Here is an 11,638-nt window from a genome sequence, read left to right as displayed (position 1 = left end):
GGAGCAGACGCCGGGGAGCTGGCCGCAGATGAAGCAAAGGAGGAGGTGGCCTGGGGACCCCGGGGTGAGGCGGGGGCCGTGGGGGTGGGGCCCAGGGTTGGGGACGGCCGCCCAGAAGGGAGGTCACAGTGGTCTCTAATGAGCTGGCCTTTAAGCTGAGATCCAGTTGAGGCGGAGGAGATCCCGCTCTCAGGCACCTGAACAGAGGACCGTTGCAGTCCCTCTGTGTTCCGTGTGCTGGAGGCCTGGCTCTGCCCACCACCCTCAGGTCTTCTTGCCTCTTCCCTTGTGCTGCTGTGAGGGGTTGGGCTTGTGGGAAAGTGTCCCTGCAGCACAGTGCCCTGGGTATTGTGGAGGTCGGGAATCAACCTGATTTGTGCAGGCCGAGGCCCGGGGGCAGGGCCTGAGGGGTGGGATCACTGGGCCTGGCCCAGGCCTCCTGCGCCCCTTTGCTGCCCCCATCACCTACGTTGCTTGCCCCTTGGGCAGGGCGTCCTCACTGCCTCTGGAGGCTGCGATGGGCAGATCTCTCCCCCAGGGCTGCACCTGCGGGGGCTACGAAGGTCCCCAAAAGCGGTGACCCTCCTGCCCCCAAATTTAGTCCCTTTTTCTGCCTGGGGCTCCCTTCCGAAATCTCACCTCTGTGAAGCTGTGGCAGGGTTGTCTGTTTAGGGGAAGGACGTCTCCCACCCTACAGGCATCTCAGATACTCTTGGAAAGCCCCAGGGAGGGTTGTGGATGCCTGTGGAACCTTCTGGTTGTGCTGCCTCTCCCTGCTCAGCCAGAGCGGGGCCATGTGCGGACATTTCACGGGGGTTACATGTGGTTATGGCCTCTTTAGGGCTGAAGGGACCTGGCTTTGGTTCTCTGCTGGCAGAGCGTGGCCAGGGGTGGCTCCAGGGTCACTGAGCGGGGATTGTGTGGGAACCAGAGCCTGCCTCCCCTTCCTTTAAAATACTTTTTATTTATTTATTTATTTTTGAGATGGAGTCTTGCTCTGTCGCCCATACTGGAGTGCAGTGACACAATCTTGGCTCACTGCAATCTCCGCCTCCCGGGTTCAAGCAATTCTCCTGCCTCAGCCTCCCAAGTAGCTGGGATTACAGGCGCCTGCCCCTATGCCCAGCTAATTTTTGTATTTTTAGTGGAGACAGGGTTTCACCATGTTGGCCATGGCTGGTCTCGAACTCCTGACCTCAGGTGATCCACCCGCCTCGGCCTCCCAAGGTGCTGGGATTACAAGTGTGAGCCACCGTGCCTGGCCCCTTTAAAATATATATTTTTTAATGTGAAAAAATGCAGACAGGAAAGAGTGTATGTCAGATACATGCACAGTTTAAAAAGTAATAAAATGGATTCCTGTATAGCCAGCCCTAGGGTTAAGAAATGTACCTTCCCCAGCCTGGGCAACATAATCTCTACAAAAATTTTACAAAGATAGCCAGGTGTGGTGGCACACACCTGTAGTCCCAGCTACTTGGGAGGCTGAGGTGGGAGGATCGCTTGGGCCCAGAAGTTCAAGGTTACAGTGACCTAGTAGGACTGTGCCACTGCACTCCAGCCTGGGTGACAGAGTGAGACCCTGTCTGAAAATAATAATAATAAAAAGTCCCTTCCTGCTGATTCTGTGCTCCTGGTTTGGGCTCCCCACCACCACCGGGGCAAAGATGATGTCTTCAGGCCAAACAGGCGCAGGGGAGCCCAGGTAGTCACACCCAGATTTCTGCCCCTGGAAGGAGACCCACTAGGGAGTTAAGAAGTGTCAGGCAGTGAGTTCCTGGGGTAATTGAGGCCCAGGTGCTCCCCCAACGCTGCCTAGGGAGTAGGGATCCCTTTCTCTCTCCTCTGAGGTCCCTGGGATCAGATGAGGTTTAGCCAAGAGGGGTGGGATGAGCTGACTGGAGGGAGGGGTTTGGGGGCCAGGCTGGGCAGGGACCCTCCAGCCTTCGTGGCCGCCTCCATTGTCAGTCTCAAAGACGCCAGCTCAGGTTGGGCTGGGCTTCTCTCCTCTGGGGGTGGCTGCACCCGAGAACCAGGTCAGAGACAGGGATGCCAAACAACAGAACGGGCTGGCCTCCTAGGGAAGGTGGCTGGAAGGACAGATGGGCTGTCTGGGGCAAAGGAGCAGGAATACCCATGTGGGAGACCTAGTAGGCAGCCATTGTGGCTAGGTGAAGGGGACCCCAGCCCACCTCAGGCCTGGCAGGCACTTTGGTCAACCTCTGAGTGCAGGGCTATGAAGTGTGCGGCATTTGAGCCAGGCCACAGATGTTCAGAGAGGTCTCACACGTACCTGATGTCACACAGCTAGGATGGAACCCCTCTGGAGCTTGACTACTCCATGCCCAAGTCTGCTTATTGCCAACACCTTTACTCTTTCCCCAGCCCTGCCCTCCCTCTTGGGGAACAAGCACTTTGGTGCCTCTGCAGACTGCAATGTTATCTTGGATTCCTCCAGTGATGGGGAGCTCACTACTACACCAGGCATCCCAGGACAGAGTTCACCTCTCTGGATATCCTGCCCCACTCTGTCTCCAACATGGTTGCTCTGCCCGCTCTCTCTGTTGGGAGACTCTAGGTGGGCTAAAGCTGGAGAATCACACTGCAAGATGCCAGGGTGTTCTGCAGGGTGGCGCTGCCTCCACCAGAGTCAGTACTTCCTCCTCACGCTCAGGGCTTAGTCCAAACACTCAACCTCTAAGACCTGTGGCAGGAAGAACTCATACCCTTAAAGACTTCTCTGGGGGGTGAGGTGGGGATAGGACCCTGCTGTCCCCTCTGCCTGGCCCTGTTTCCTTCTTCCCCAGACCCCTACCCAAAGCCTACCCTCTGGCTGGTCACACCACAGGACCTGGAGCACGCCACAGGAATTATTACGGCTATGCTGACTGCATGGGCCCTGGGAGAAGCCCCCACCTCCCAGCTCAGGGTGGCCCTGCCCTGCCTTCTGGGCCTGGGCTGGGGTCTGGGGTCATTCGGGAAGCCGGTGGCCAGTGGTGAGGGTCCCAGCGGCTTGCCTGCACTACACAGTGGCTTAGGAAATTACAGTTGAGTTCCGTGAACTCCAGGGAGTTTGCTCACAGTCGTCTGATTTCTGGTCCTTTTAAAGCATCACCTGTTTCCCCTTATATTCACTCCGGCCTCAGTTTCCCCATCTCCTGCCAGCCCTCCAAACCTCAGATGAAAGCCTAGAGCTGCACATGTCCCTCCCCTGGACTAGCTCTCAGGGGACCTTGTTTTCCCAGGCAGGCTGGCTTCTCAGGGAAAGGACTGTTTTCTCTCTGGTTCCAGCCTATTGTCATGCCTGGGTGGACAAATGGGGAGCCGGTGAGGTGAGCACCCTGGGGAGGGATTGCAGAAAAGCACATCTTGGCTCTTCTTAACCTCTGAGTGACATTTAGCATTTCCTCCCATCTTAAATGCAAGCAGCATTCCCCAAAAGCAGTATTAGCAATACCTGTGGTTTTTGTTGCTGAAATATCAGAACTTTTCATCTCAGAGCTGTTGCATGAAATCTGTAAATATTTTCTCTCTTTTTTATTTTTATTTTTAAAGACAAGGTATTGCTTTGTTGCTTGGGCTGGTATTGAACTGGGAAAATGACCCTCCTAACCCAGCCTCCCAAAATGCTGGCAGTACAGGGGGGTACCACCACGCCTGGCTGGAAATATTGTTTATACTCCTCGATCAACTGGAGTGACAGAGGCGGCCTGGTTTTATCATTTCAGGTGCTAATAACAAAAGAAGTTCTGACTCTGGGTACATGTACCGATCCACTCCTCCTATCAGGATAACAAAATACCTGGCATCCCCAAAGTGACATGCCACAAGTCTTAAAGTGTCTGATGGCACCATTTCCCCAGTCCCGTGCATCACTTATCGTAGGCATTGGTGAAACCCCACTTGTCAGCTAGAGTGGTCCCTGCCTGCACACATGAGCCTTCTGCCTGTCCTGGACTCAGACAGTGGCCCTGACTGTGGGCCTCTGCCTACTTTCGGACACTCCCTTCTGCCCGTGGGACTTGGGCAAGTTGTCTACCTGCCAACTCCCCACCCTAGTACCTCCCCCTCCTTCCTTCCTTCCCTCCCTCCCTCCCTCCTTCCCTCCTTCCTTCCTTCCTTCCTTCTTTCTGTCACCCCAGCTGGAGTGCAGTGGCATGATCATGGCTACTTGAGCCTTGAGACCCCCGGGGGGATCCTGGGGGAGAGGGATCTTTCCGGTCTACTTCCAGGCTGGATGTCAGAACCTGGGATTCTGTAAAGTGACCAACTTTGCCCTACAGCTCAAGGCCTGCCTGGGATCTCCTTGGCCACCGTCGAGACCTGTATCTGAGCTCAGAGCCCTGGGAATGCACTGGGTGCTGCCCCACGGCTTTGAAGAGACATGGCTGAAGGTGTGGAGCTACTTTGCTCTAGGGCCTTTTTGAGTCAGAGCTCTCTGGGGGCAACCAGGGACTGGGAGACAGACGGGGTCTGTGGCAGGGGACACAGCCAGGCCAGTGGCAGGGGCCAACACAGAACAGATTGCATCTCCAAATGTGGAAGCATCTTGGCAGTGAGCTACCATTGCTGTGGGCATACAAGAGGCTAAGCAGACTTTTGACAAAAGGCTCTGCTTGTCGGGGGTTGTTGGCATCAAGTAAGGCTTGTTTAAGGCGATCCTTGTGCGGCAGGAAGTCAGAGATGGGAGAGATGTGTTGGTGAGGAAAGCTGGTTGGGGGGCTTCCCTTTGTCCTTAGAGAATGACTGAGTGTGCCCCGTTTGGGAAGGGCCATGTGGGTGAAGGGGCAGGGGTCTCATCTGGATGAGGCCTGGAGGTGGGTGCGAGAGAGGTTCCACATGGAGGTGTGATGAGGACACCAGCAGGAGGCTGACCAGGGCATGGGGCCATGGCAACGCCTGGGTGACGTCCCTATGAGGTGGCGGGGCTGGGAGTGAGGAAGGGCCAGGCCCCCACGGATGGGGGAAAGGGAGAGGCACATTGTGAAGGTGCCTGCCGGGCTCCTCCTGGGTGAAGCTTTTCTCTTGAGACCCACCTCCAGGTTTTAGGGGGCTGGGGTCTGCACCTCTCTTTCAGGGCTTCCTTTTCACCTTCCAAGCTTCCAGGCAGAGGCTAGCAGGAGAGGTACGCCTGGGCTGGGGGCCTTGTCTCCAAGATGCATCACAGACTCACTCTGTGTGTGACCTTCCCAGCTTGGGGCTGCACGGAGCAGTAATGTCTCAAAATGATACTGGGGACTCCTATAGGGTGGTCAACTTTTCACTACCCCAGAGAAGGACACTAAAATCAAAGTGGCCAGGCATGGTAGCTCAGCCTGTAATCCCAGCACATTGAGAGGCTGAGACAGGAGGATCACGAGCTCAGGAATTTGAGACCAGCATGGGCAACATAGTGAGACCCCGTCTCTACAAAACATTAAAAACTTAGCTGAGTGTCTTGATGTATATATACTCCCAGCTACTCAGGAGGCTGAGGCAGGAGGATCACTTGAGGCCAGGAGTTCGAGGCTGCAGTGAGCCCTGATCATGCCACTGCACTCTAGCCTGCACTGCACTCTAGCGAGACTCTGTCTCCAACAAAAAAAGAACAAAAAACCAAATGGATCTTGTTCCGCATAGGGCAGACAGGACCCAGAGGACACAGCAGTCCACAACAAAGGCACTGGATTCTGAATGGCCCCTGTCTTGTTTGGGGAGAGGGGAACTGTTGGTCCCCGTCTGTGTTCCGAGGCTTGGTGACAAATTCTAGCAAACCTTAGTGGTTTAAAACAGCAGTCCACATAGATGGTCTCTCACAGTTCCTGGGAAGCAGGACCCTGGGCTCCATGGCAACCTGGTTCTGCTCTAAGGTCTCAACTGAGGTGTCAGTGCCTGGGTTTACCTCGAAGGTATTGTAGTGGGGTAGGTTGGGCACCCCCCTTCACATCCAGCTGGAGCCTTGGAGCAGGACCTCCTGTAGAACCAGGGTCTTGGCAGACATCCTCAATGAGTGACGTCGAGACCAGGCCATCCTGGATTAGGGTGGGCCCTGGACCCGTAACAGGTGATCGTCTAAGAGAAAGAGGAGGGGGATCTGAGATGCACAGATCGGGAACCAGCCATGAAGACAGGCCAGAGACTGGAGTGTGTGGCCATGCGCCTGAGGCACCTGAGCCACCAGGAGCTGGAGGAGGCTGTGCAGGGTCCTCCCCAGAACCTTTGGAGGGAGCATGCCCGGGACACCTCAATGTGGGGCTTCTGGCTGCAGAGTTGCGAGGAAATACCTCCCTTGCTGTTGTGAACCACCCAGGTTGTGGTAACTTGCTGTGGCCACCCTGTGATGCCAGTATACCTCCTTCCCTCATGTCTGGTGCCAAGGCCGGGAGAGTCAAATACCTGGGGCTAAAAGCATTGGGGTTCCTCAGATGATCCTCTTTGCACCCCTGCATAGGGTGTCTGCCCACACGGCCTCAGGGTCATGAGTTTTCTGCAGGCAGCCACCTGACCTGTCCAGCCGGACATGTGTCTCCCCCATGGGTCAGTTTGGGCAGCAGGTTGGGTCCCGTGTAAGGCTCAGGGCTGCTGGGCTCTGATGTCACCTGTTGCCACGGTGACTCTGGTTGCTAGGATCAGACTACTCCCTTCCTGGGCACACTGTATCCCGAATCCCCAGAAGAACCAAGGGGATCCCCCAGCACAAGGCTCGTTGGGGAGGGAGTCCTTGGCGCTCAGATTTGAGAGAGAGAGTCGGGGCTGGCCAGGGGGCGTGGCTTGGGCAGAGGAGAGTGCTCATGGTGACCCTGGAGGAGACCCTCCCTTCCCTCGTTCATTGCTCCCAAGGCCAGGTGTCTCTAAAGGAAGCCAGTTGTGGAGAATGTTGGTCCTGCAGTGGCGATTAATGCAAAGATGCCCTGAACAAAGCAGGACACACGTGCCTGCCTGCTACCCCTGCCCAGCTGCTGTTCTTGGACGCATGTGCTCTTCTGGTGGGACCCGTGAATACGTGGCTCACGGTCCTGGGGCACACCCCATTGTGTGAGGCTGGGGGTCTTGTGGGGAGCCAGGCCCCTGGTGTGGGTCCCTGCTCAGAAGCCCCACGCAGCCCCTGTTCTGCTGAGTGCGGCTGAAAGCCCCCCATACCCACAGCCCTCTGTCCTCAAATTTTTCTCATTTTAAAAATTGTGGTAAAATACCCATAACATAGGACTTACCATTTTAACCTTTTAAAAATAATTTAAATTTTTTAAGAGACAGGGTCTTGCTCTGTCACCCAGGCTGGAGTACAGTGGCGTGATTTTGGCTCATTACAGCCTCCGCCTCCTGGGCTCAAGCAATTCTCCCACCTCAGCCTCTTGAGTACCTGGGATGGTAGGCACGCACCACCATGCCAGCTAATTAATATATTTTTTCTTGTACTGACTGGGTCTCAGTATGTTGCCCAGGCTGATCTCAAATTCCTGGCCTCAAGCGATCCTCCCACCTCAGCCTCCTGAGTAGCTGGGATTATAGGCGAGAGCCACTGCATCCAGTGACTTTTTTTTGTTTGTTTCTCTAATAGCTGCCATCCTGATGGGGTGAGCTGGTGTCTCATGGTGGTTTTGATTTGCCTGTCCTGAAGGACTCGTGACTTTGAGCGTCTTTCCATGTGCTTGCTGCTGTTTATAGATCTTCTCCGGAGACATGTCTGTCTTCCCTCTCATTCTTGCATGCGGGCGTCCACAGGCTGACCCCTCAGCTGCTCAGCCAGGCCCCTGCTCCTGTCCACAGAGCCCACCCTCCAGGTGCACTCCCTGCCTGCCTCCTGCAGGTTCCTTTCCTGGGCATGGTGGCCCAGCCCTCTCTGTCCCTCACCTCACCTGCTTTCTTCATGGCATGTGCACATCTGACATGGTTACTAGTTGTGTGATTTCTGTCTGCCTTTGCAGTGGACACACCACAGACGCTCAGCCAATGCTTGAACCAGCAGGTGGGTGGGACTATGCCAGGACGGGATGGTGGCTCAGAGAGGGGCTGCCTGGTCTGGGGCCTGACAGGCGGGAGGAGGAGAGGCCTGTAGCACCCATTGGAGGTGTGTGGTCGCCCAGCACAAGAACAAGGGAGGAGGCAGTCAGGCGGGGGCGCTCCTGCCCAGGCCACGGAGCTTTAATTAAAACCCGCCCGGAGCATGACCCCACTCTGCCATGCATTCTTCACTTAATTGGGGCCCTTCAGGAGGGGCCGGCTGAGGTTAATTAAAAAGCCCAGCTGAAGACATTGTTGTCTTCCTAGCATCTGCTGCCAGCATCCGCCTGCCTGTGCCCAAGGCCTGGGCTACCGGGGTGGGCAGAACCATGCCCCAGGGGCCTCCAGCCCCCATGCCTGTCACTGCAGCCTGCAGCCAGCCTGGGCGGGGGACCGTGCTCATTGTTGGGTCCTTCAGTGAGTGCCCCCTCTGGCCTTAATGAAAAGGAGACTCTCCTGGATACCCTGAACTGATGGGCCCCAATGCCCCACCATGGGAGGGCAAGGCTGGCTGTGGGACACCAGAGCACCCCGGCCTGCCCCGGCCTACTTGTTTCAGCTCCTAACTCCTACCCTGGGGGTCTGGGTGCTGCCCACGGCTCCCAGGCGACTGCGCGGTGACCCTGCCCTCTCCAGCTCCTCTGCCCATCACCTGCAGGCCCAGCTACACACCTACACCCGGGAGACCCCTTTCTCAGGAGGCAGGGAGTAGCCAGGGCTGCCGTGGAAGGTTCTGGGTGCCACAGGAACATGCAGAGGGTGGGTGGCCCCGTGAGGGAGGCTGGCACGAAGGGCAGGGGAGGGCTGTCACACTGCCCTCTCAGCGTATGCCCGGGGGCTTGGCCGCAGTGAGGGAGACAGTGGTTGGAGGAGAAGGGGGAGAAAGAAGAACTCAAGCAGTCAGCGAGTGCCAGGCCCCCTTCTGCCCCAATGGGAGGAGATGATAGACGAGGAGGTGACAGAGTGTCACCGTGGCCCACAGGACAGCCACCCGCCCAGAGCCTGGGCACCCATCCGGGTCTCCCAGCGCTGTGGTCCAGGCCCGGAGGCCCCCACAGAGCCAAAGTAGGCAGGTGGTGGGAGGAGGTCCTGTGCACCTGGCACACAGGGGTGCTTGTGATCCAGGAGAGAGATGAACCCTTGGCAACAGCTGGGAAAGATCTAAACAACTGATGCACTGGTGCAATGGACTTGCAGGTGCAGACAGCAGCCATGCTGGGGGCTAGTCAAGGGGCCCCATTTGCTGACTAGGCACATGGCTTGGAGCCTGGGAGCCAGGCATCACACCAGGCTGGTGGTGTGGAAGCCCGAGGAAGCCCCTTGTGCTACACGGCAGGCCACGATGTCCAAGGGGCCGGGGTGGGATTCATGCCATAAAGGTGGAGGCTGCTTATCAGTCCCAGGCAGCAGAAGAGGGGACAGAGGCAGACGCCAGACCTCCTTCCTGACCCTGGACTGGCCTGCAAAGAAGCAATTCAGAGTGGGTGGTGGCCAGCTGCACACCTTTAGGCAGCACTGGGCCAGGATGGCCTGAGCAGAGCCACCTATGGTTAGGCACAGCCCAGGAAAGTGCCCACACTAACGGGGAACACACTGACCTCTGACCCTCCACCTGAGGCAGGCCAAGTGACACAGAAACAGGGAGGGTGACCAGGACTCTGTGTCTGCAGGGTCCCCACGTGATGCTCCAGACACAAAGCACACAAACCATCATGGACACTGAGCACGGTGCCTTGGCACCCCAACAGCACTGTGACCCCTGCACTATCCCCTACACTATCCCTCTACACTATGCCCCACACTATTCCCCTTCACTATCCACCTACACTATTCCCTTCCACTATCCCCACTACACTATCCCTCTACACTATCACCTACACTATTGTCCTACACTATCTACCTGCACTATGCCCCACACTATCCGCCTTCACTATCCACCTACACTCTCCCCCATACTATCCCTGTACAGTATCCCCCCTGCACTGTTCCCCTACACTATCCCCACTACACTATCCCTTTATACTATCACCTATACTATCGCTCTACACCATCCCCCCTACACTTTCCTCCCCTACACTATCCCTCTACAGCACCCCCTATACTATAGCCTGGGCAATATCACCCTACGCTATTGCCCTACACTATCTCCCCTACACTATGCCCCTATACTCTCCTGCCTACACTATCCCCCGTACTCTATCCTTCTACACTATCCCTCTACACTATCACCCCTGCAATGTCACCCTACACTCTCCCCCTAAACTGTCCCCCAATATTATCCACCTACACTATACCCCTACATTATACCCCTGCACTATCCCCCTACACTATCCCCTCAACACCATCCACCTACACTATCCCCCTGCACTATCCCCCCAAACTATCCTCCTACACTATTGCCCTACACTATCCCCCTACACTATTGCCCTACACTGTCCCCTACACTATCACCCCTGCAATATTACCCTACACTCTACCCCATACTATCCCCAAAACTATCCCTCCTACACTATCACCCCTACACTATCCCCCCTACATTATTCCCCTACACTACTCCCCTACACTATCCTCCCTACACTATTTCTCTCCACTATCCCCTACACTATCCTCCTGCACTATCCCCCTACACTATTACCCTACACTATCCCCCCTACAGCATCCCCTACATGATACCCTACACTATCGCCCTGGCAATATCACCCTACACTATTGCCCTACACTATCCCCCTACACTCTTCACCCTACATTATTCCCCTACACTACCCCCTACACTATCCCTCTATACCATCTCCCTACACTATTCCCCCTACACTATCACCCCTACACTATCCCTTACACTCTCCCCCTATACCATCCCGCTACACTATCCCCCCTATACTATCCCTTTACACTATACCCTACACTATTGCTTCTGCAATATCACCCTACACTCTCCCCCTGCACTCTACCCTTACACTATCCCCCCTACATTATCCCCCTACACCATCCCTCTACACTATCGCCCTACACTATCCTCCTGCATGCTTCCTGTACACTGTCCCTCTATACTATCACCCTACACTATCCCCCCTACACTATCCTTCCTGCTATATCACCCTACACTGTCACCCTACACTATCCCTCCTACACTATCTCCCTATACTATCCCCCTACACTATTCACTGTACGCTATGCCCCCATGCTATTCTCCTTACTCTATCCCCCAAACATTATCCCTCTACACTGTCCCCACTATGCTATACCCCTGCACTATACCCCTATGCTGTCTCCCTTACGCTATCCCCCTATGCTATGTCCCCTACACTATCCCCCTTTGTTGTCCCTCCATGCTACTCCCTACGCTATCCCACTACTCTATCCCCCTGACGCTGTCCCCCTACGCTATCCCGCTACACTGTTCCCCCTACACTATCTCCATACACTGTCCCCCTACACTCTCCCCCTACTCAATTCCCCCTACACTCTCCGCGTACACTATCCCCGCTACACTATCCCCCGACGCTATCCCCCTACACTGTATCCTATATTATCTCCCCTACATTATCCCCCTACCCTGTCCCCCCTGCACTCTCCCACTACACTATCCCCCTACACTATCCCTATACACTATCCCTCTACAGTATCCCCCCTACACTATCCCCCCTACACTATTCCCCTA

The 11,638-nt window shown here is 55.8% G+C and overlaps 1 long non-coding RNA gene across 1 annotated transcript, besides 3 other annotated features; it reads left to right on the top strand.

Moving 5' to 3' along the window:
• Positions 5-134: a silencer, noted in NCBI's record as "silent region_1907". NCBI's record gives its function as "represses an Ori minimal core promoter by ATAC-STARR-seq in GM12878 lymphoblastoid cells {active_cell/tissue: GM12878}" and the evidence as "EXISTENCE:reporter gene assay evidence [ECO:0000049][PMID:35858748]".
• On the top strand, positions 5,589-8,230 carry LINC02809 (long intergenic non-protein coding RNA 2809). The gene has a single exon (NR_158166.1). It is a non-coding gene; the product is annotated as a long intergenic non-protein coding RNA 2809 (long non-coding RNA).
• Positions 6,243-6,743: an enhancer, noted in NCBI's record as "H3K4me1 hESC enhancer chr1:228263097-228263597 (GRCh37/hg19 assembly coordinates)". NCBI's record gives its function as "activates a minimal SCP1, AML or CMV promoter by ChIP-STARR-seq in naive H9 embryonic stem cells {active_cell/tissue: H9 hESC(naive)}" and the evidence as "EXISTENCE:reporter gene assay evidence [ECO:0000049][PMID:30033119]".
• Positions 6,744-7,244: an enhancer, noted in NCBI's record as "H3K4me1 hESC enhancer chr1:228262596-228263096 (GRCh37/hg19 assembly coordinates)". NCBI's record gives its function as "activates a minimal SCP1, AML or CMV promoter by ChIP-STARR-seq in primed H9 embryonic stem cells {active_cell/tissue: H9 hESC(primed)}" and the evidence as "EXISTENCE:reporter gene assay evidence [ECO:0000049][PMID:30033119]".
• Positions 8,231-11,638: the final 3,408 nt, after the last annotated feature.

The sequence above is a fragment of the Homo sapiens genome, chromosome 1, assembly GCF_000001405.40.
Source record: "Homo sapiens chromosome 1, GRCh38.p14 Primary Assembly".
Classification (NCBI taxonomy): Eukaryota; Metazoa; Chordata; class Mammalia; order Primates; family Hominidae; genus Homo; species Homo sapiens.
This window is presented reverse-complemented; position numbering and strand designations above follow the sequence as displayed.